We start from the raw sequence: 20,712 nt of genomic DNA, 5'->3' as shown, positions 1-20,712 counted from the left end.
GGTGGTGAAAATGGTAAAGAAAAAAATAAAGTTCAGAGTGTTTTATGATGCTCCCATTACATTTTTAAAAATCATAATCTACCTCCCTTGTTATTCACTTTATTTACATTTTTAAAAAAGTGGTAAAAACATGCATAGGTGAATGTTACAGATCATACCACTACCACCCAACATACATTGTCCAAGTCTGTGATGATTTCTGTATTCACGAACGTCAAAATCAGTGCAGTGACACGTCAGCTGTCATTCTTGATCACACACACAAACCCAGATGTTGCATTGGAAGCGGCAAAATGTCTGATATGGAATCGAAATGGTATCTTTTAAAATTGCTCTTACAAAAGGAAGGAAATTCCAGAAGTCATCTTGAAAATTTTTATTTCTAAATATCAATGCTTAAAATCATTAGAAGAAACTCAGAGTATTTTAAGAAGAGTTAAATGGGAAAGTCATCCCCAAAGTGGCGGCCATTTTTTATGAGGACTCTGCAAGAGATGCTCAGAAATAGGTTCTTACATCATCAGTATGCTGCAAGCGACAGACTGCATTGCAATGGATCGGGGAAGGGATATAGAGAAGCACTGGCATGATTTCGACATAAAATATATTGTCGGGATAGTTTGTGGGCTCGCCTATGGAGAAGGTAGGAAAACCACCGTTTATCTTTATTATTTAGTATAGACACTTAGGCTTGCAATTAGCTATTATACATAAAAGTTCAGTATGGTTTCCCACAATTTAAAGATTGGAAAATTGAAGAGATGGCTGGGATTACATAAGTTATATGGGTAAAATGAGACTGCAATCTAGATGGTTTGAAGTTTTCCAACTTTTATTCTTTTTTTTTTTTTATGATGGAGCCTTGCTTTGTCCCCCAGGCTGGAGTGCAGTGGTGAGATCTCGGCTCACTACAACCTCTGTCTCCTGGGTTCAAGCAGTGCTCCTACCTCAAGTCTCCCAAGTAGCTGGGATTACAGGTGCCCGCCACCACGCCCAGCTAATTTTTGCATTTTTAGTAGAGACGGGGTTTCACCATGTTGGGCAGGCTGGTCTCGAACTCCTGACCTCAGGCAGTCTGCCCCCACCAGCCTCCCAAAGTGCTGGGATTATAGGCGCGAGCCATTGCACCTGGCCTATTCTTACATTTCTTTATTATGGCATCATTTTAGCATTTTAAAAAATGGCTAAATATTTGGGGAAGAATCAGGAGAAAATTTATCTTATTCATAGATTGTAGAGTATATATTAAATATATTCATTTTATATGTATTTGAAGTTATGAAATATCAGTGAAGAGGCCATTCTCAGGTTTGTGATGGAAGGTGCAGTGGGGAACCTTCTCCCTTGATGATCTTCATGGAGCCCAGATGGATCAGGCCACACTGTCCACCCTGGATTCTGTGAGCAGCTGATCTGGTCCTCTGGGGGCCAGGCTACAGTCTAGCCTCTCTCACCCTGATACCATGACTGCACTACTCTTGGAAGGAAGAAAGTGCTGTTCCTAGGTCAGCTGCTAAAGTTCCTAGGTCAGTCTACTAAAGTACTAAGTACTAAGGGCACCTAAATATCATTGGATGTCCCCAAACCAGGATTCTAATAGAGATCATTGTTATGCATAAGAAAATATGAAATTCCACCAGGTACAGTGGCTCATACCTGTAATCCCAGCATTTTGGGAGGCTGAGGTGGGTGGATCACCTGAGGTCAGGAGTTCGAGACCAGCCTGGCCAACATGGTGAAGCCCTGTCTCTACTAAAAATACAAAAATTAGATGGGTGTGGTGGCGGGCACCTATATTCCCAGCTACTCAGGAGGCTGAGGCAGGAGAATCACTTGAACCTTGGAGGCGGAGGTTGCAGTAAGCTGAGGTTGCACCACTGCACTCCAGCCTGGGTGACAAGAGCACAACTCTGTCTCAAAAAAAAAAAAATAAATAAATAAATAAAAAGAAAATATGGAATTCATGACAAAAATTTACTATATCTACTCAGAAATGTGTCATATAGGTATACGCCTCAAAATACAGCTATCATTTACAGTGCATTAAATGAGCAGTGAATGTCTTGGGAAAAGAGAGTTTGGAGAGATCCCAGAAGCAAGGAAAGATCAATTAGAAAGGAGCAAAAGAAGGGGTCCAGCTCCCTGTCCAATACATGTACTGGAGTAGCAATAGGCTGAGCTAAGTCAGGGCTTCAGAGTAGAATAAGTCTTTGCAATAAATACGGTGACTCTAGGCTGTGTATGTTACAGGGAAATTATTACTGAGTATGTTCTGTGTCCAGGAATTGGGCTGGGTGCTGGAAGGCAGTGGTAAGCAAACTCCTCATGGACTCTGAGGAATGCAGTTTCCTTCAGAGAAGACAAACATTAAACGAATAACCACAAATTAATTATGAATAGGCACAGGACTAAGAAGACATACTAGGCATTCGATTGCCAACAGAGGACTTCATTAAATCCAGAGGCCAGCAATGGTTTTTGGAACTGAAATGTGAAGAATAAATAGAAGTTAATTAGATCCAAAGAAGAGCAAAGAGCATTCTTGGTGGACGGAACCATGTGTGTGAAGGTCAATAAGTGGGAAGGGGACGCCACATGCAGGCAATGGGGTGCAGCCCAGCATGGCTGGAGGAGGAAACTCACGCATGGCAGACTCCAAGCCCTGGGATACAGTCACGTGAATTGCAAGCACCTTAAATTTAATGCCAATTTAAGTTTCCTTGAAGCTTGTCAGCTTGCTTCTGGGCTAAAGTGAGGTTCTGAAGAAAAGCATCTTTATTTCAACAAAGAGGAATGTCAGGATAATTGACAACATTATCTTAGTAGGCTGGGTCGAGGACATTTCAGATAGATCAAAGCACAAAGCAGCAATTTAAATTACTCGAATTTTCTTTATGTTGTTATTTGATCTATGCTTAAGGATTCTGAGGAATGTAGTTTCCTTCAGATCTCTTAAAAGACTGTGATGTTGATCACGATTATTCTGGTTACAAGGGACAGAAATCCCATTAAAAATTGCTATAACAAACCAGCCAACTAAAAAAGGAATATGTTGCCTCACATTATTTGAAAAGTCCCAGATACCCAAATCAAATGCTGTTGTACGGACCTCGTCTTTATGTCTCAGCTCTGGTTTTCAAGATGTGGACTTCCCTCTAGGACAGGTTCCCGACATGGTGGCGAGAAGTTTTTCACTTCCCCAAGCTCACCTTATGGCAGTTTAGCAGCCTGGTAGGAAAGGAAGCTCATTGTTTTCTCAATGGTTCAACTAACATCCTGTGGTCAACTCTCCCCTGAACACCTTGGGTCATGTGACCATCCTTAAACCAATCACCGAAGCCAGAGGTCTGGGATATGCCAATGGTCCAGACCAGGATTAACTAGAGCCTGGAGTTGGCATCAGCACCCCCAAAACCACATGGTCTGGAAGTGAAGAGGAACGATGTGGCTTGCTGAAGAAAATCAAGATGCTGTCATCAAAGGAAGTGATGGGATAGGGGAAACAAAAGAACAGATCTTCTCAATACAAATTGAATCTTTTTTTCAATCATTGAGATGTTAGTCTGTTTAGGGTGATTGGATTTAGTCCTGCTTTACCCACAGTTAATCATACTAGTTTGCTACTTAAAACTTAATGAAAAATCTAAAATGTTTCATAAATCATTGTATATGATTTTGTTTTATACAGAGTTATACATAAGGCAGATTTTACAGGGCAAAGCCAATATTGCCATGATATGAATGATTATGTAAAAAAGTCAGTATATTTAATTGGATGTCTGAAAGCATTAACAGACCTAGAACCTAGAGAATAAAGAAAAAAAAAATCTAAGATTTTTGTGGGTGTGAAGGAAGTGGTTGAGAAGCAAAGCCTAGAGTTTTACACGTCAGCAGAAATAAAACAGCTTTGTAAATTTTAAATAGAAGCCATTGCAAGAAAACTTAGACATTAAAACATGCATTCAGATGTTGATTGGGTTGGTGACATTATGTGAAATATGATTCAGCCCTAAAGTTTCTATGGAATTTGTTTATTCTGATAACATGAAATGTGAATGGCCAAGATTCTGAAACCTGAAAACTCCTCCAATATTAACATATCAGAAAAAAATTTAGAACTTAAAGTCTCATGTTTATGAGTGATCAGTTTGTCTGAATTCTTATTTTTCATGTTCTAAACAGTTATGCTGTCAGCTCAGAGAATGTGGCTCCTAAAATCAGATAGAGTCATGATCTCATTCTTACTAAATAAGAGTGTATTATGATACATGACATCAACACAATGAAGGACAAAACCACATGATCATCTCAATAGACACAGAATAAGGATTTGGTAAAATTCAACAACCTTTCAGGATGAAAATTCTTAAAAAATTAGGTATAGAAGAAACATATCTCAACACAATAAAGGCTGTATATGACAAAACCTCAGTTAACAACATACTAAACTGGAATAAGACAAGAATGCCCACTCTCGCCATACTTATTCAACATAATACTGGAAGTCCCAGCCAGAGCTATTAGGCAAGTAAAAGAAATAAAGTCATCTAAATTAGAATGGAGGAAGTCAAATTGTCCATTTCTGCAGACAACATGATTTTACATTTGGAAAAACCTAAACTCCACCGTAAAACTCTTAGAACTCATAAACAAATTCAGTAAAGTTGCAGGATACAAAATCAACATACCAAAAATTGGCAGTGTTTCTGTACACCAGTGATGAATTAGCTGAAAAGGAAATCAAGAAAGTAATCCCATTTACAATAGCTACCCACATAATAAAATACTTAGGAATAAATTTAACCAACGAGGTGAAAGATATCTACAAGGAAAACTATAAAATACTAATGAAAGAAATTGAAGAGGACACAAAAAATGGAAAGACAGCCCATGTTCGTCAACTGAAAGTATGAATATTGTTAAAATGACTATACCCAAAGCAATCTACAGATTGAATGAAATCCCTACCAATAATATTCTTCACAAGAAGAGAAAAAACAATCCTAATATTCATATGGAACCACAAAGAATACCTAAGAGCCAATGCAATTCTGAGCAAAAAGAACACAGCTGGAGACATCACACTACCAGATTTCAAAATATACTACAAAGCTGTAGTAACTACAACAGCACGGTGCTGGTATAAAAACAGACACATAGATCACCGGAATAAAATAGAGGATCCAGCAATAGGTTCAGGTATTTACAGCCAACTGATGTTTGACAAAAGTGTCAAGAACATATATTGGGGAAAGGACAGTCTCTTTAATAAATAATGTTGGAAAAACTGGATATCCACACACAGAAGAATGAAGCTAGACCCATATATCTCATTATATACAAAATATCAACTCAAAATGGATTAAATGCTAGAATGGCTGACCTGAAACTGTAAAACTGCTAGAAGAAAGCATAGAGGAAACATTGCATGACATTGGTTTAGGCAAAAATTTTATGGCTAAGACCTCCAAAGCACAGGCAATAAAAACAAAAATAGACAAATAGGACTATATTAAACTCAAAAGCTTCTGCACATCAAAGAAAGCAATCAACAGAGTGAAGAGACAACCTGCTGAATGGGAGAAAATATTTGTGAACTATTCATTTGATAAGGGACTAATATTCAAACTATACAAGGAGCTCAAACAACTCAACAGTTTAAAACAACACAAATAATGTCATAAAAAAGTGGACAAGGATATGTATGAATAGACATTTCTCTCTCTTTTCTTTTTTTTGACACAGGGTTTGTCTCTGTTGCCCAGGCTGCAGTGCAGTGGCATGATTTTGGCTCACTGCAACCTTCACTTCCTGGGCTCGTGACATTTATTTAAAGAAGACACACAATGGCCAATAAGTATATGAAAAAATCCACAACATCATTAATCATCAGGGAAATGCAAATCAAAACCACAATGAGATATCACCTCACTCTAGTTACAATGGCAATTTTCAAAAAGACAAAAAACAACAAATGCTGCTGAGGGTTAAAGGGGACTCTTATATACTGTTGGTGGGAATGTAAACTAGTTCAGCCACTACGAAGAATAATTTAAAGTTTCCTCAAACAGCTACAGGTTGACCTACCATATGATCTAGCAATCCCATTGCTGGGCATATATCCACAGGAAAGGAAATCAGTGTGTATATATATATATATATAATTTTTTTTTTGAGACGGAGTTTCACTTTTGTTGCCCAGGCTGGAGTGCGAGTGCAGTAGTGTGATCTCGACTCACTGCAACCTCTGCCTCCTAAGTTCAAGGGATTTTCCTATCACAGCTTCCTGCGTAGCTGGGATTACAGGCATGCACCACCATGCCCAGCTAAGTTTTGTAATTTTAGTAGAGACAGGGTTTCACCATGTTGGTCAGGCCAGTCTCAAATGCCTGACCTCAAGTGATCCACCCACCTCAGCCTCCCAAAGTGCTGGGATTCCAGGTATGAGCCACCACACTTGGCAGAAATCAGTATATTAAGAGATACCTGCATCCCCATGTTTATCGCAGCACTGTTCACAATAGTCCAGATATAGAATCAACCTGGGTGTTCATCAACAGATGAATGGGCAGAGAAAATATGGTGTGCATGTATACACACACACACACACACACACGGACAGACACACACCCAATGGAATACTATTCAGGCATAAAAAGAATGACATTCTGTCATTCACAGAAACATGGATGGAACTGGAGGTCATTATGCTGAATGAAACAAGCCAGAAACAGAAAGATAAACACTACATGTTGTCATATGTGGAAGCTAAAAAAGTTGATCTCATGAAGTAGAAAGTAGAATAGTAGTTATTGATAGGGAGAGATTGGTTAAAGGATACAAAGTTACAGCTAGATAGGAGGAATTAGTTCTAGTTTCTGTATCACTGTGGGCTGACTATAGTTAGCAAAAATTCATTGTATATTTTCAAATAGCTAGGAGAGGGGTTATCGAATGTTCCCAACACAAATAAATACTTAATGTTTGATGTGACAGATATGTTAATTACCCCGATCTGATCATTGTACATTGTATGTATTGAAACATCACTATGTACCCATACATATATATCATTATTGTGTGTCAATTTAAAAAATAAAAAGTATTTTTAAAAGAGTGTATCACTCTGCTTGGTTACAATACAATGTTCATTTATTTCAGGTATCTATCTTTGCCAAACAACTAAGAAGTTTATGACTTGAACACTGAATAAAGCAAGTCGAAAGTGTTGAAAATTTAGCAGATGGGCAAAAAATGTTTGTGAATAGTATTTTTTAAAATCATTTGCAAAACTACGGAAAAGTCAGTAGTTCATAATGACTCAATCTGTGAACATGCAGCGGAAAGTGACAAAATTAAAATGTAAATGTATATTCCATAAAGTTTAAATTGCAAAAAATATGATTGTTAGAAATATTACAGGATACTAATTAATAGCATTTGACTTACAAAGTTCTACCCTGCCAGCAAAACAGGTAGTAGATGCCAAAATGTACTCCACCACCTGCAACGATCATATCAAGGTTAGAAAGGTCAGGAATGTACCGTTATGGAATACCTGCTGAAGGTCAAGCACTGCTTACCTCAGTTATCACCAAGCCTATTACGCAGATGAGTAAATTGAGACTCAAGAAGATTAAGAAATTTGCCTAAGGCCATGTAGATATTTACAGGCCTGAGATATGAACCTAAGTCTACGTGGCTCCTTAGCCTACGTCCCTTTAATCACAGAAGAGCATTAAAGCACCACAATTTTGTTTATTTTTTGCAAGAAGGAAACTCATTTCTGTATGATGATTTACGTTACATATAAATTTACCACAGACATTGTTACTTCTTCCATAGATCTATACATGCTTTAAACTCATTTGCTATCTTTTTTTATGAGTGTGTGTGTCTGTGTCTGTCTTTAACAGCAGTAAAGTGTTCAGATTGACCCTTTATTTTTGACAATTCTGATCTAATTATAGAGGAGATATGACACGGCACATCCAATTACAATTGAGGCACTATTATTCTAGGATATTTTCAGGATATAATCTTGCTTTTTAATTAAGTCAGTATATTAGTGATGTTTTTGAAGTTTATTTTACCTTCAGGTATTATGGAAAATTCAATTAGAATATGAATCAAGTCTTTTGTATTTTGTACGTAATCTGGAATCTAATACTTCTGTATTTGGTAAATTATTTTTCGAACCGGTCTACCTGGAACGACACCACCTGTTAATTGATCTTTAAAAAGGAAGCCAAATCCAATCCTGAGAGCCACATTATATTTGTTCCCTCTAGCAGCCTCCCTGACTGGTCCAGTCTTCATACTTTGCTTTGCCCTCAAGCCATTTCCATTTTGCAGAATTCAATTTCTGACTTAAGCTGGTGTTTTAGAGGAATGAGGTCACTCAAATCTCATTTGCCAGATCTCTCCACCAAAGGACAATAACCAAGGACTGAGTGGAAAATCTCGCACAAAGCCAGATTCGAATTTGTGCTAATGAGACAGCAGTGTTGCTTACAGCGATGCTATCTCTCAAAGGCAGCACAGTTCCCAAAAGCACCCTGGTCGCTTCTAGCTCTCCTGGGCAGGCCCAGAGAATGCAAGTCTGGAGGTGACCTCGTTTCCAGGAGCTTTGTTTTCTTCCCCACGCGAGTGGCCAGCACAGGCTCTGAAGACGAAGGTACAGCATTAGGAAAAAGTGCCGTCTCTGGCTACAGCTATGCTAAATGCAACCCATTGTTTCACATCATCCAGTTTTATTAAAATCGTGGTATACTGTAGAAGTATTTTAGTAGACAGAAAAACAATAGATTTGGAGCCCTCAATATGAGTTCACATTTACTTGCTATATGGTTTTGGTTTAAGTCACGCAAGTTCTCTGTGCTTCACTTTCTTCCTTGTTAAAAATTGGAGAAAGACACAGTATCTAACAAACCTAGCTCAGACATGAGGAAGCACGACATAAACATATAAAGACTTATAAATGCACATTATTGTATGTTTGATGTTAAACTAGAAAAAACAAAACTTCAACCTTTGACATGGACAAAAGCTATCATAGCAACACCAAAGGTAATATGAATGGTGTGATATGATCAACCAAATTTACCTTCATATGGTGTTTTGATCAGAAAGGAGTTCTCAACAGGTATTTTTTGTACACATCTGAACAAGTCTAACTCCCATGAAATTATGCTTTTCATGGAAAGTTTGACCGTATTAATCTTGGCAGGGTTTGGGTAGTGTTTTTGGGACTCTGAAAGGACTCTTTCATTTTAATTCCCATGAAAGGCTTTATTTTTACATACTGTATTAGGAAAATCCGAAAAGAAGAAGAAAGCTCCATCGTCCTTCTGATAGTGTTTCGTGGAAATACAACAGCCCAGTCGGAAGTGCATGTTCCGGTGTCATCTTCACAACCACTGTCATCTGTGCGTAAAACGAGCCCTTCAACCTTCAGTCATTAATTAATTGTTCATTTCACACTTAGTCCTTTCATAAATTCATGTTTGCACAGTACATTCATACGTTGACATTTTCACCTCAAGGCAGTTTTTATGCAAAGAGAATTATCTCACTCAGCGATTGATCCCACAGTGAGACAAATTCCCCCAGCTATCTTCTTCTAAAACTCCTAACTTTTATAAAGCACAGTGACTCTTTCAGGCCACTGCAGTGGTGGCCCAGTCGAAATGCTATGCTAGCTTTCTGGAAGAGTTAATTGACTTCAAGGCTAGGTAACGTGCCCTAGAGAAGATAAACAACTGGGAAAAAGCATCTCGAAGCAGGCGATTGCTCCGCACTTACTTACCCCAAGATTTCGGGGGACAGTGGGGACTTATATTCTTAATACTGGATTTGAAATGTGGAATGTTGAAGGATTGAGAAGTACTAAGGGCTGAGACCCAGCACCTTCTGTGTATGATGAGCACATAAGTCATCCTTCTTTGGTGAAAACAGCCTCCAAGTTGTTTTGCCAAACCAAGCCTCTCTAACAGTAGGAGATTGTCAAGGCTTCAATTAGTAAATCCCTAAGCACCAAAGTTAATGATGTGAGCAGTGAAAAGCGGTGGGAAACTCATTCCCAGGGAAGGGAAGAGTCCGATCAGCCGTCATCGCCGCCGGGCACAAAGAAGGGCTGGAGTCCACCACCAAAAGAGGTGTTTGCATTGCCACCAAAAAAGGAAGCAAAACTATTTAATCATTATTCTTGTTAGGTAAGATTCAGTAACATTTTTCCAAGCAATAAAATACTACAGAGAACACTTGGATGCTGACTGCTCTTAAGACAGTAGCTCAAGTCTTAGGCACAATCAGGGAAAATATGAACATATAGTTAAGGAATTAACGAAAAGAGAAGGATAAAAAATAATTTTTCTTTGATAAGCAAAGTTGGGAATCTCTGACTAATATAATGATAAAGGCTGTACCATTTAATAATTGAGAATAATGTCAGTGCTTACAGAAAGAGGGAGGTCAATTTGTATAAAAAATAGTACACTACCGAAATACTACAAAACTAAGCATGAATAGGAAAAGTAATGATGGAAGCCCACATATGTCAAAAGTTAGGTTAAAGCTTCAGGCCCTGGAGACTTCCAAGCCGGGTTCTTTAATGAGTGAATGAAGTTAATAAACATGTAGATACCATCTGAAGGAAGTTATGAAAGCCTACAGACTCTGGGTATTTTATCCTTAAATTACAAATGAGGAAAGAGTTCCTGATGGAGGACTCTGGATATCCAGCTAAACCTCCCTCCCTTTACTCCAGAGCAACCACCCTTGTTGCTGGGCCCATGGCTGCCCAGTCAGATACCACATTTCCAAGTCATCCTTGCAGAACCGATGCAACGGTTCTCACCAATGACATGAGAATAAAGTGATGTTTGCCACTCCCGGTCCTGGCCTTCAAGTATCGGGCAAGCACCCTTCCATACTTTCTGTCTGTCTCTCTCTAAAATGCTGAGGTCCTATTGGACCCTGGGGAAAACACCCCAGGGAATGGAGGAAAAGAAGATGGAAGGAGCTGGTTCCCTGGAATGCCCCCATGGAGAGGGCCACACCGTCAATTCAGACCCCTCACCGCAGTGCGCTTACGTGACAGTGAAAGAAACGTTGGTTTTTAAATAGCATGAACATGGTTTCAATTTGTTTTACGTCTGTTGTCTTGGCATCATTTTAAATGGCATTCCCTTTCGCTGTCCAAGTGAATTACACGTCACCCTATTTTAACTCGGGGTATCATGGTACCTCTTTATATCGGCAGCTTAGTTTCCCTGCAACTGATAGAGCCAGAACCACCACCTGCAACTCGGATGCTGACACAACAGGACCTAGAACCTGTCCACTGAGTAAGCGGCCAGGAGGCAGCAGAGGAAGGCATGTTTATTTCAGGGTAGGGAACCAGTGAGCCTTGTTATGCGCGGGGAAATGTTTGCAAGACTGTCCCCTGTGAGTGAAACGTTTGGAAGACTGTGCCCTGTGAGTGAAACGTTTGGAAGACTGTGCCCTGTGAGTGAAACGTTTGGAATACTGTCCCCTGTGAGTGAAACGTTTGGAATACTGTCCCCTGTGAGTGAAACGTTTGGAATACTGTCCCCTGTGAGTGAAACGTTTGGAATACTGTCCCCTGTGAGTGAAACGTTTGCAAGACTGTGCCCTGTGAGTGAAACGTTTGCAAGACTGTGCCCTGTGAGTGAAACGTTTGCAAGACTGTGCCCTGTGAGTGAAACGTTTGGAAGACTGTGCCCTGTGAGTGAAACGTTTGGAAGACTGTGCCCTGTGAGTGAAACGTTTGCAAGACTGTGCCCTGTGAGTGAAACGTTTGCAAGACTGTGCCCTGTGAGTGAAACGTTTGGAAGACTGTGCCCTGTGAGTGAAACGTTTGGAATACTGTCCCCTGTGAGTGAAACGTTTGGAAGACTGTGCCCTGTGAGTGAAACGTTTGGAAGACTGTGCCCTGTGAGTGAAATGTTTGCAAGACTGTGCCCTGTGAGTGAAACGTTTGGAAGACTGTCCCCTGTGAGTGAAATGTTTGGAAGACTGTGCCCTGTGAGTGAAATGTTTGGAAGACTGTGCCCTGTGAGTGAAATGTTTGGAAGACTGTGCCCTGTGATAACCTGAGAGGCAGACAACGTGTACCGACCAAACCCGGAGCCGTGGTGCCAGAGTGTGGATCTGTGTTGCTCGACCTCGCTGCGTTAGGGAGGTTTTACAAGATAAATAAACACAGGCAAGAACTAGCTCCTTCTAAAGCAGAGATGGAAGAAAGCAGATGGGGCTGGGGCTAGAAATCCCTCCTGCTTCTGTGCTCTCAATGGCAGTAGATACATAACTTGGTTTTCAGAGCCTTTCTTAAAGGCCTACTGTTAAGCCAAAGCCAAAAAGATCCGATTAGGGGTGTTACCTCTACCTATAAGCTCACTGTTTCCCATGGCCTCAGAACTGGTGCCTTTACAATAAAGAGAGGGATGGATCCCAAAAGCCAGGCCATCAGGCAGGCCTGAGAACTATGTGCAGGCTGGAGTTCTGTGCGCGGTTTCTGGAACCTGGGACTCAGTGAAAGAAAATAAACACACGAAGAAGCCCACAAAATTTTTAAAAACCACAAACCTGGTTTACAAATGCTTGTGACTACTTGAAACCTAAGCAAGCAATTAGCCCCACTCCACTTTGGATATGGGTGTGGACACAATGCATAGAGAAGACCCTTTCCAAAAGGTGAAGCCAGCTGTCATAGCTAGATTCATGGGAGATGGTGATCAAGGGTGACTCCGGGAGGCGCAGAGCCAGCCGCAGTGGGGGGAAGTGTCCAAGGACACGCTCAGGGGCAGGGTGGGGCGTGAGCAACTCCTGCCCAGCTGGGGACCATCAGAGATCCGCCCTTTGCTCCTCCCTTTGCTCTTCCCTTGTCCCAACCAGGTCTTCCCTGCAGATGTGCTGTTCCAGCTCCACCACTGTGGTTGTGAGTGGGAGGGACATAGACAACTGGCCCTTTAGCTGGAGGCCACTGGGCAGTGAGCCGCTACCTCTGGACCAGACCAAAAAGACCCTCCAGGCCAGGCGTGGTGGCTCACTCCTGTAATCCCAGCACTCTGGGAAGCCGAGGTGGGTGGATCACCTGAGGTCAGGAGTTCAAGACCAGTCTGGCCAACATGGCAAAACCCTGTCTCTACTAAAAATACAAAAAATTAGCCAGGTGTGGACACCTATAATCCCAGCTACTTGGGAGGCTGAAGCAGGAGAATCACTTGAACCCGGGAGGCAGAAGTTGCAGTGAGCCGAGATCATACCATTGCACTGCAGCCTGGGAGACAGAGCGAGACTCTGTCTCAAAAAGAAAAAAAAATCCTCCAATACCGATACTGCAGCAACCTAGACCTTGGGCTGGGGGAAATGCAGAGGGGACTCTGGGGGCTCCCCGTGGAGGGCGGCACATGTGCCTCGTGTGTCTGTGCGTGGGATAAGAGCACACACAGATATCGGGTGACACTGGAGGGGTCTGAGCTGGACACGGCTAGTTACCAGATTGGCTTCACACTACGCAAACACTGTGCTGATCCTTGACTTGCGGCTGGGCTTCCAGGATGATGTTTCTGAACTTTCCATGGAGAGAGTGGTGGCCTTGTGACTGAGTTCCAGCCACTGGAGTTTGAGTGGAAGTGACATCTGCCACTCTGAACCAGGGCCTTAAAACACTGAGCATGCACTTCTCGACCCTCTCCCTTCACCCGAGCTGGTAGACGCAGGTGCCTCTGACCCGGTTCCCATCATGCAGAAGACGATGTCCTAACCAGATGGGAGGAACGTGTTCTTTGCCAGCCTGCACTTCCCACCACCTAGGGATGGCTTTCTGAGAAAGAGAAATACACATAAAGGTTTTTATGCCACTATTTGGGGGATTTCTTTGTCACCATACTAAGTCTTCACCCTGATGGTAACCAATTATAGCTATTTGTAAATTCAGTTCATCCATCTGTCGGGTAAAGCAATGTGTGGTGACACCTGCATGGTGTCAGACACCACAATAGATTCCTAGGCCCATGTGCTGGGCTACCAGCCAGTCACTGCCACTCTGCGCTCAGGCATGGTGCTGTGCCCACGGCCTCTTGGCAAGCCTGCAGGCTTCTGGCCATGCCACCGCCTGCAGAATCCCAGAGTGTACACAGTGGGACTGGAACCCAGAACTCGCTGACTCTCGAACTGTTTATCTTTCCATTTATAGATGTTCAATTTGGTAACAGATTTGCAAACGCACTAAAATTTTTCAGGAATGTAGGTTTTGCGTGTGTGTGTTTTTAACATATCAGCCATGTTTATTTTGCCTTTTCTATTAGACGTTAAAATTATGTTGCCAATATTTTGATAACTTGATTTTTTAATACAAATAAATAAAAGCATATGCCCCATGCCAATTTAACTTCATTTGCTTAGGCTCTGGGAATTTTCCATATACTTCAAGTTATAATTTTGGATTTTGAATAAAGCAACATTTTAAACTCTAAGAGTTCATGACTGTAGTAAATACTGGGTACAATATATTTTTCCATGTCTTATAATATATTGAACTTTGTAAAGAAATTGCCATTAAAACTTTTAAAGAAAAATATACTTTGGAAGGAATGTTCTTTGGTTTATCTTGGTAAATTCTCCCTAGTTATCTAAAATCGTATTATGGAATGTTTACTTGTTTGTGGAGGAAACACTGAAGGAGAGTGTTCCCCATCAGGTAAAATAATACATGATGTCCAGATGGTTCCTACCTGTACTAATATGAAACAGGAAAAATGCGGGAAAAGAACAATTTCCTCATATTAAGGTATGAAGGTATGTTCTGGAGGCTTCATTCACTTTTTTTTTTTCTTTTTTGAGATGAAGTCTCGCTCTGTCACTCAGGCTGGAGTGCAATGGCGTGATCTTGGCTCACTGCAACCTCTGCTTCCTGGGTTCAGGCAATTCTTCTGCCTCAGCCTCCCTAGTAGCTGGGATTACAGGTGCCTACCACCACACCTGGCTAATTTTTGTATTTTTGGTAGAGACAGGGTTTCACCATTTTGGCCAGGCTGGTCTCAAACTCCTGACCTCAGGTGATCTACCTGCCTTGGCCTCACAAAGTGCTGGGATTACAGGTGAGAACCATTGCGCCCAGCCTTATTTTACTTTTTAGGGTCACATATGTCTTGTAAATAATGTTAAGTAACCTACTCAAGAAATCAGACGTCACTTCTTTGAAATTCTCATAATCGCAATGAAGTTGGGACCCTCTCACCACCCCAGATTTCTATTTTGTCTAAATCTTACTGCAGCGTTGTCTCCAGCCTGGTTCCTGACACCTTCAGGATCTGCTTCCCAGGTGGTCATGCATCTCCAGGCAGCAGCTAAGGCCATAAGAATGAAAGAGAGAAAGATGGAAGCAGACAGTGGAATTCCACAAAAGGATGAGGAACACATAAATCATAGAGCAGGCATCCATTTATGTGAGGATGGACGGCAATTGGATTAATGTTCAGAAACGGTGACACAAGCACAAACTGAGACACTATGATGGCCCAACCAGAGGTTTCTAACATACGCCCTGCCAAAGCAGTTGTGCCAACCTAGGATACAGAAAGCTGTGGGGCTGCTATGAAAGAAAGAAGCTTGCACCTGCTGGGAGCAAGTGGGGATGCAACACATTGTGTGCCGAACTTTATGTGTCAACTTGACTGCACTAAGGGAGGCCCAGATAGCTGGTGAAACATTTTTCTGTGTGGGGGAGGGTGCTTCTGGAAGAGATTAGCATTTGAATTAGTGGCTGAGTAAAGAAGATCACCTTCTCCAATGGGGGCGGACATCAGTCATTCCATTGAGGGCTGGAATGGAATAAAAAAGCAGAGGAGAGGACAATTCGGTCTCTTCCGGAGCTGGGACAGCCATCTTCTCCACCTCCCTTACATTGGAGCTCCTGGTTCTTGAGCCTTCGGACTCCAGGACTTACACCACCAGCCACGCTGGTGCTTAGGCCTTTGGCCTCGACCTGGGAGCAAGACCATCCGCTCTCCTGGTTCTCAGGCCTTCAAGCTCAAACTCAAGTACATCACTGGCTTCCCTGGTTCTCCAGCTTGCAGAGGGCAGATCATGGGACTTCTAGGTCTCCATAATTGCGCAAGCCAACTTCCATAATATATATCTACACACACACACACCCTATTGGTTCTGGAGAACTCTCACTAATACATATATGAAGATATGCCCTATTTTAATTGGAGTCCCCTGAACCAGACCCTGAGGCAAGTGGTTTATTTACTGTATAAATGTTAGGGGTATAAGTGCAATTTTGTTACATGGATATATTGCATAGTGGTGTAGTCTGAGCTTTTAGTGTATCCATCACTCAAATAATATACATTGTACCCATTAAGTAATTTGTTATCATCCACCCTGACTGTCTTCCAGGTCTCCAATATCTATCATTCCATACTTTGTCTCATTTGCTCATTATCTAGCTCCCACTTATAAGTGAGAATATGTGATATTTTTCTTTCTGTTACTGAGTCGTTTCACTCAGGATAATGGCCTCCAGTTCCATCCATGTTGCTGTCAAAGGTATTATTTCATTTTTCATGGCTGAATAGTATTCCATTATGTATGTATACACATATTACACTTTCTTTATCCAATCATCTTTTGATGGACACTGAGGTTAGTTCCATATCTTTGCTATTGTGAATAGTGTTGTGATAAACATATGAGTGCAGGTATCTTTTTGGTATAATGATTTCTTTTCTTTTGGGTAGATACCCAATAGGGGGATTCCTGGATCCAGTGGTATTTCTATTTTTATTTCTTTGAGAAATCTCCATGCTGGTCTCCACAGAGGTTGTGCTAATTTACATCTCCACCAGCAGTGTATATAAGCTTTCCCTTTCCTCCATAGCCGTTCCAACATCTGTTATCTTTTGACACTTTAATAATCGCCATTCTGACTGGTGTAAGATGGTATATCATTGCGGTTTTAATTTTCAGTTTTCTGATGATTAGTGATGTTGAGCATTTTTTTTTTCATATACTTGGTCATTTTTGTGTTTTCCTTTGAAAAATGTCTGTTCATGACCTTTGCTCACTTTTTGATGGGATTATTGTTTTTTGGTTGAGTGGTTTGAGTTCCTGAGACAAGTAGTTTAAATGCAAATTATTTACATGTTGAATCCAGGAAGCAGCCTAGGAAGATGGGGAAGAGCAGGAAGCCAATCAAATGTGTGGTGTTAAGTGCTCACCACTGTGGGCAGCAGAGGCTCAGTCCAACTAGGGAGCTTTGGGAGACAGTAAACGAGGTAGTTTAGTGCATAGGTCTGAACTGCTTTGATGTTGAAGAAAGGGTGAGACAATGCATTTCAGAGTAATGCCAGGAGAATATGGATCAAAACTGGAATATGAAGAGAATGTTTGAGGTTCACAACAGATTCAGATTTGAATGACGTTTAGTGAGTGCCAGGTCTTCCATTACCTTTCCCACAGGTTTCTTGTTTAACTCTCACAATAATAAAGTGGGGACGGTGATCCTCGTTTTCACATATAAAGAAAATGACATTCAGAGGACACGAGTGCCTTATGGAGCACCACAGAGCGAATACAAAGGGAATCCTGGGTCATATTCAGGTTTCTGAACTCAAAATATAGTGATGGCCAATAGAGAATATTAGAAAAAACAGGAGCTTTTAGTCTATTTCTGTGTGTGCTCTATTGCTGTCCATGGCAGTACCTGAATCTTAACAACCAGTAATGGCGTGGCTGACAAAGCAAGACAGTCACTGTGGAGCACATGCGGCTGCCTGCACACCAGCCCTGCCTTTGAACTTTGGACAAGCTCCTTGGCCTCTCTGGTCTTCAATTTCTTCATGGCAAAATTGATACATAAAATCTACTTTAGCAGGTAAAAACTTTGTCCGTTGTCAAGGCTAAACAAACTCAGTTCTGTTCCATTTGTTCCAAGACCCATATTTGATGCCCTAACACCTTGGCATATTCTCAAATCAGCTGTTTCCTGCTGTACATACCAATGTCAACAATGAATCGAGCACTTCAAAGAAATCAACTACTTTTACAGACCAAAAGCTTAGAGGCACGGGCTGGTATAGAGAGAAACAACTTCCACAGCATACTCACTAAACATAAATGCAAGAATTAACATTTCCCTTAGGCCAAGTTTTTCCTTCAAGTGAAATGGTAATTACAGAATTGTGATTCTCTTACTGTTCTTGTTATTTATATTAATTAATCCACTCATCAAATAATTATTAAAGCAACTATTCTGTGCCAGACACTAAACCAGTCCTGGGACAGAGGGGTGAACAAAGCACAGAGATGTGCAGTCTAGTTGGGGAATCAGATGTTAACCAGAAGTGCAGCAAGAAATATTCTCATTTGTGGTTCCAACTGAAAATAATGGCTATGAAAGAGAACTAATATTGCATCATAAAGATATTGAGGAAACCACTTCTAAACAAAATCTTTTAAAATATTAACTGCCCCTGAAAAGAAATTACAGATAGAAATTCTCAGCCTGTGCTGAAGGATGGGTCTCAAGGACTCTTTCAGGAAAAAAAAAAATAAGAGTTTAAAACTCAACAGTATGACCTGCAACTGATTCATTTAGATTGAATTCAATTCAGTTCAACTTAGCTCAGTTAGACTCAATTAAACTTAGCAAACCTTCTTGGAATATTGTATTAGTGTGGGGAAAAGCAGTTCTCACTGTGGTGCCCTAAACCCTCACTTTCCTCTCCAAAGCCCTGATAAGCTTTAGCCCTGACTTCATTCTACCCGACGAGAGCTTAGAGAATGACACAAGTGCTGTGCTTTAGTACACCAGCAGGAATAAATTGCTAAGGTTTTTGTTTTTTTAAAAAAATGAATCAAGGAAGCAATTGACCTGTCCAGTTGAAAGCAATCCATGAAGAATTATGTTCTAGTTTTTTCTACAATAGACAGCAACAATTGCAATCTCTGTGCTGATTATTTCACTTAAATTTGAGTAAATGACTTGAATTTTGTGTGTTTCTTATTTTTAAAAAAATGTCTACGGTTCCTTTTGTTTGCTTTCAGCCCAGCTTCACCTTACAGTTAGTTTGGGGGCCCAAATGACTTTCCTTTAAGTGCAATGGTAATTATATAATTATCATGAGCTTATTTTTCTTAATTCATTCTTCAAATATTTATTAATACATTTATGTCTTACTTAAATGTATTCTGGGGTTCTTAATTCCAACTCTACAGTTTATTGTCTTACCCTTCTTTCCAGAGAAAAATTTTCACTTTTGCCTACTAATGTTCACAGTTTGTCTACTATTAGTGCTGGAAATGCCTTAGACAATTAGATGTGAATTTTCAAAGAAACTAAAATTAAAATTAGTCAGTACTAATTGAAACTTTTATGCAAATGGAAACATTTTCTGCTTGTAAAGCTTTGGTGAAAATGAAGCAAAATAAATTCTACCACTGAGGACTTCAATCACTTTAACAAGTATGATTCCCACAGCTTGGCAAGGATCAGTGACTGACAGACATGAGTTTCGTTCTGTTCCATTCAAACCAGCGTCCACAGCATGTCTGTTTTTATTTTCTGCATGATTGAGAACAAGACTGCTTACATAACACGTTTCAAGTAAAATTTAATGATGACTCAGTGGCTACTTCTTTAGTTTTGCTTTTGATCATCTTCTGAGTAGGGTAAGATTTTGACTGATGAGAATGGGAGCTGTTTATTTTGTTTGAAATTAGCTGAATAAATCTTTTTTTATTTCCATCATGTTAATTTCAATGTATTAAGCACTAATATAGTTCATAACATTACAGGAAAACAAGAGACATCTACAAAGTTCACTTAGTGTTTTCCAGTGACTTGGAGATGGCCGTGATATTAACTGGCAAAAATTTTAGATTTGTGGCACAAGCCAAATCAGACAAACACAAAATTGAAATGACATTAAAAACATTTTAGCCCAATAACTTAGTTTTATAGATCAGGAATATCTAGAAAGCTTTAAGACGAAGAATGTCATTTCCAACCTATTTGACTGACCCAAATCTAGTAAATCCACTAAGGAGGCCTTAGGAGAGGGACCATTATTCCAGAAAATACTGGCTTCTAACACACATCCAAGAGTGGTATTAATCCTGGACCATTGTGTTAATTCTCTCCTTGGGATTCCATGGATTGTCGGAGAATCGCAGACTCTTATAGGGGCATGCTTAGAATTACATAAGTTTTTTTTTTAATTTCCACTCAGATTTGATGCTGAGAAAGAAAAGTGTCCTTCCTGTTGACAATATATAGACTCTTTTTCTAACCTATTCTTTTATTAAGGTTATAGCATTTCAAGACCCTTAGATTTATGAGGAAATCTCAGTCCCAAATCCCTATCATAAGTTGACCTGAGGCCCTGCCTCTTATCCCTCACACATTAAACCCAAAACACAAACTTGCTGGTGTCAGCTAGCAATTCCGGGGCTTCCCTGCATTAGCCCTTGCTTTATCACCTAAAATGAGGTCCTTCAATTAAATGTTCAACTAAGTATTTAAATATTTATTGCATTTTTTTCTGGTATTTTAAAGTTTCTTCTCAGAGGTGTTTTCCGGAATACCTAATCCATAATATTTTGGGAAGTATAATTTCAATATGTTTTTATTGTATTTATCATGGGTCACAGTACTGTCTATTGACTTATATCTATCCT

At 40.4% G+C, this 20,712-nt stretch overlaps 1 long non-coding RNA gene across 2 annotated transcripts in view; it reads left to right on the top strand.

Moving 5' to 3' along the window:
• Positions 1-20,712, top strand: part of LOC124900830 (uncharacterized) — a 32,841-nt gene that overhangs the window by 11,401 nt on the left and 728 nt on the right. The window contains exon 3 of one of the 2 annotated variants that reach the window (XR_007058419.1): positions 15,303-15,558. The exons of the other annotated variant lie outside the window; for it this stretch is intronic. This is a non-coding gene — a long non-coding RNA (uncharacterized LOC124900830). Of the gene's footprint in view, positions 1-15,302; positions 15,559-20,712 lie in introns of those variants that run through there. 2 annotated transcript variants of the gene reach the window in all.

This window comes from Homo sapiens, chromosome 4 (assembly GCF_000001405.40).
Source record: "Homo sapiens chromosome 4, GRCh38.p14 Primary Assembly".
NCBI classification, from domain to species: domain Eukaryota; kingdom Metazoa; phylum Chordata; class Mammalia; order Primates; family Hominidae; genus Homo; species Homo sapiens.
This window is presented reverse-complemented; position numbering and strand designations above follow the sequence as displayed.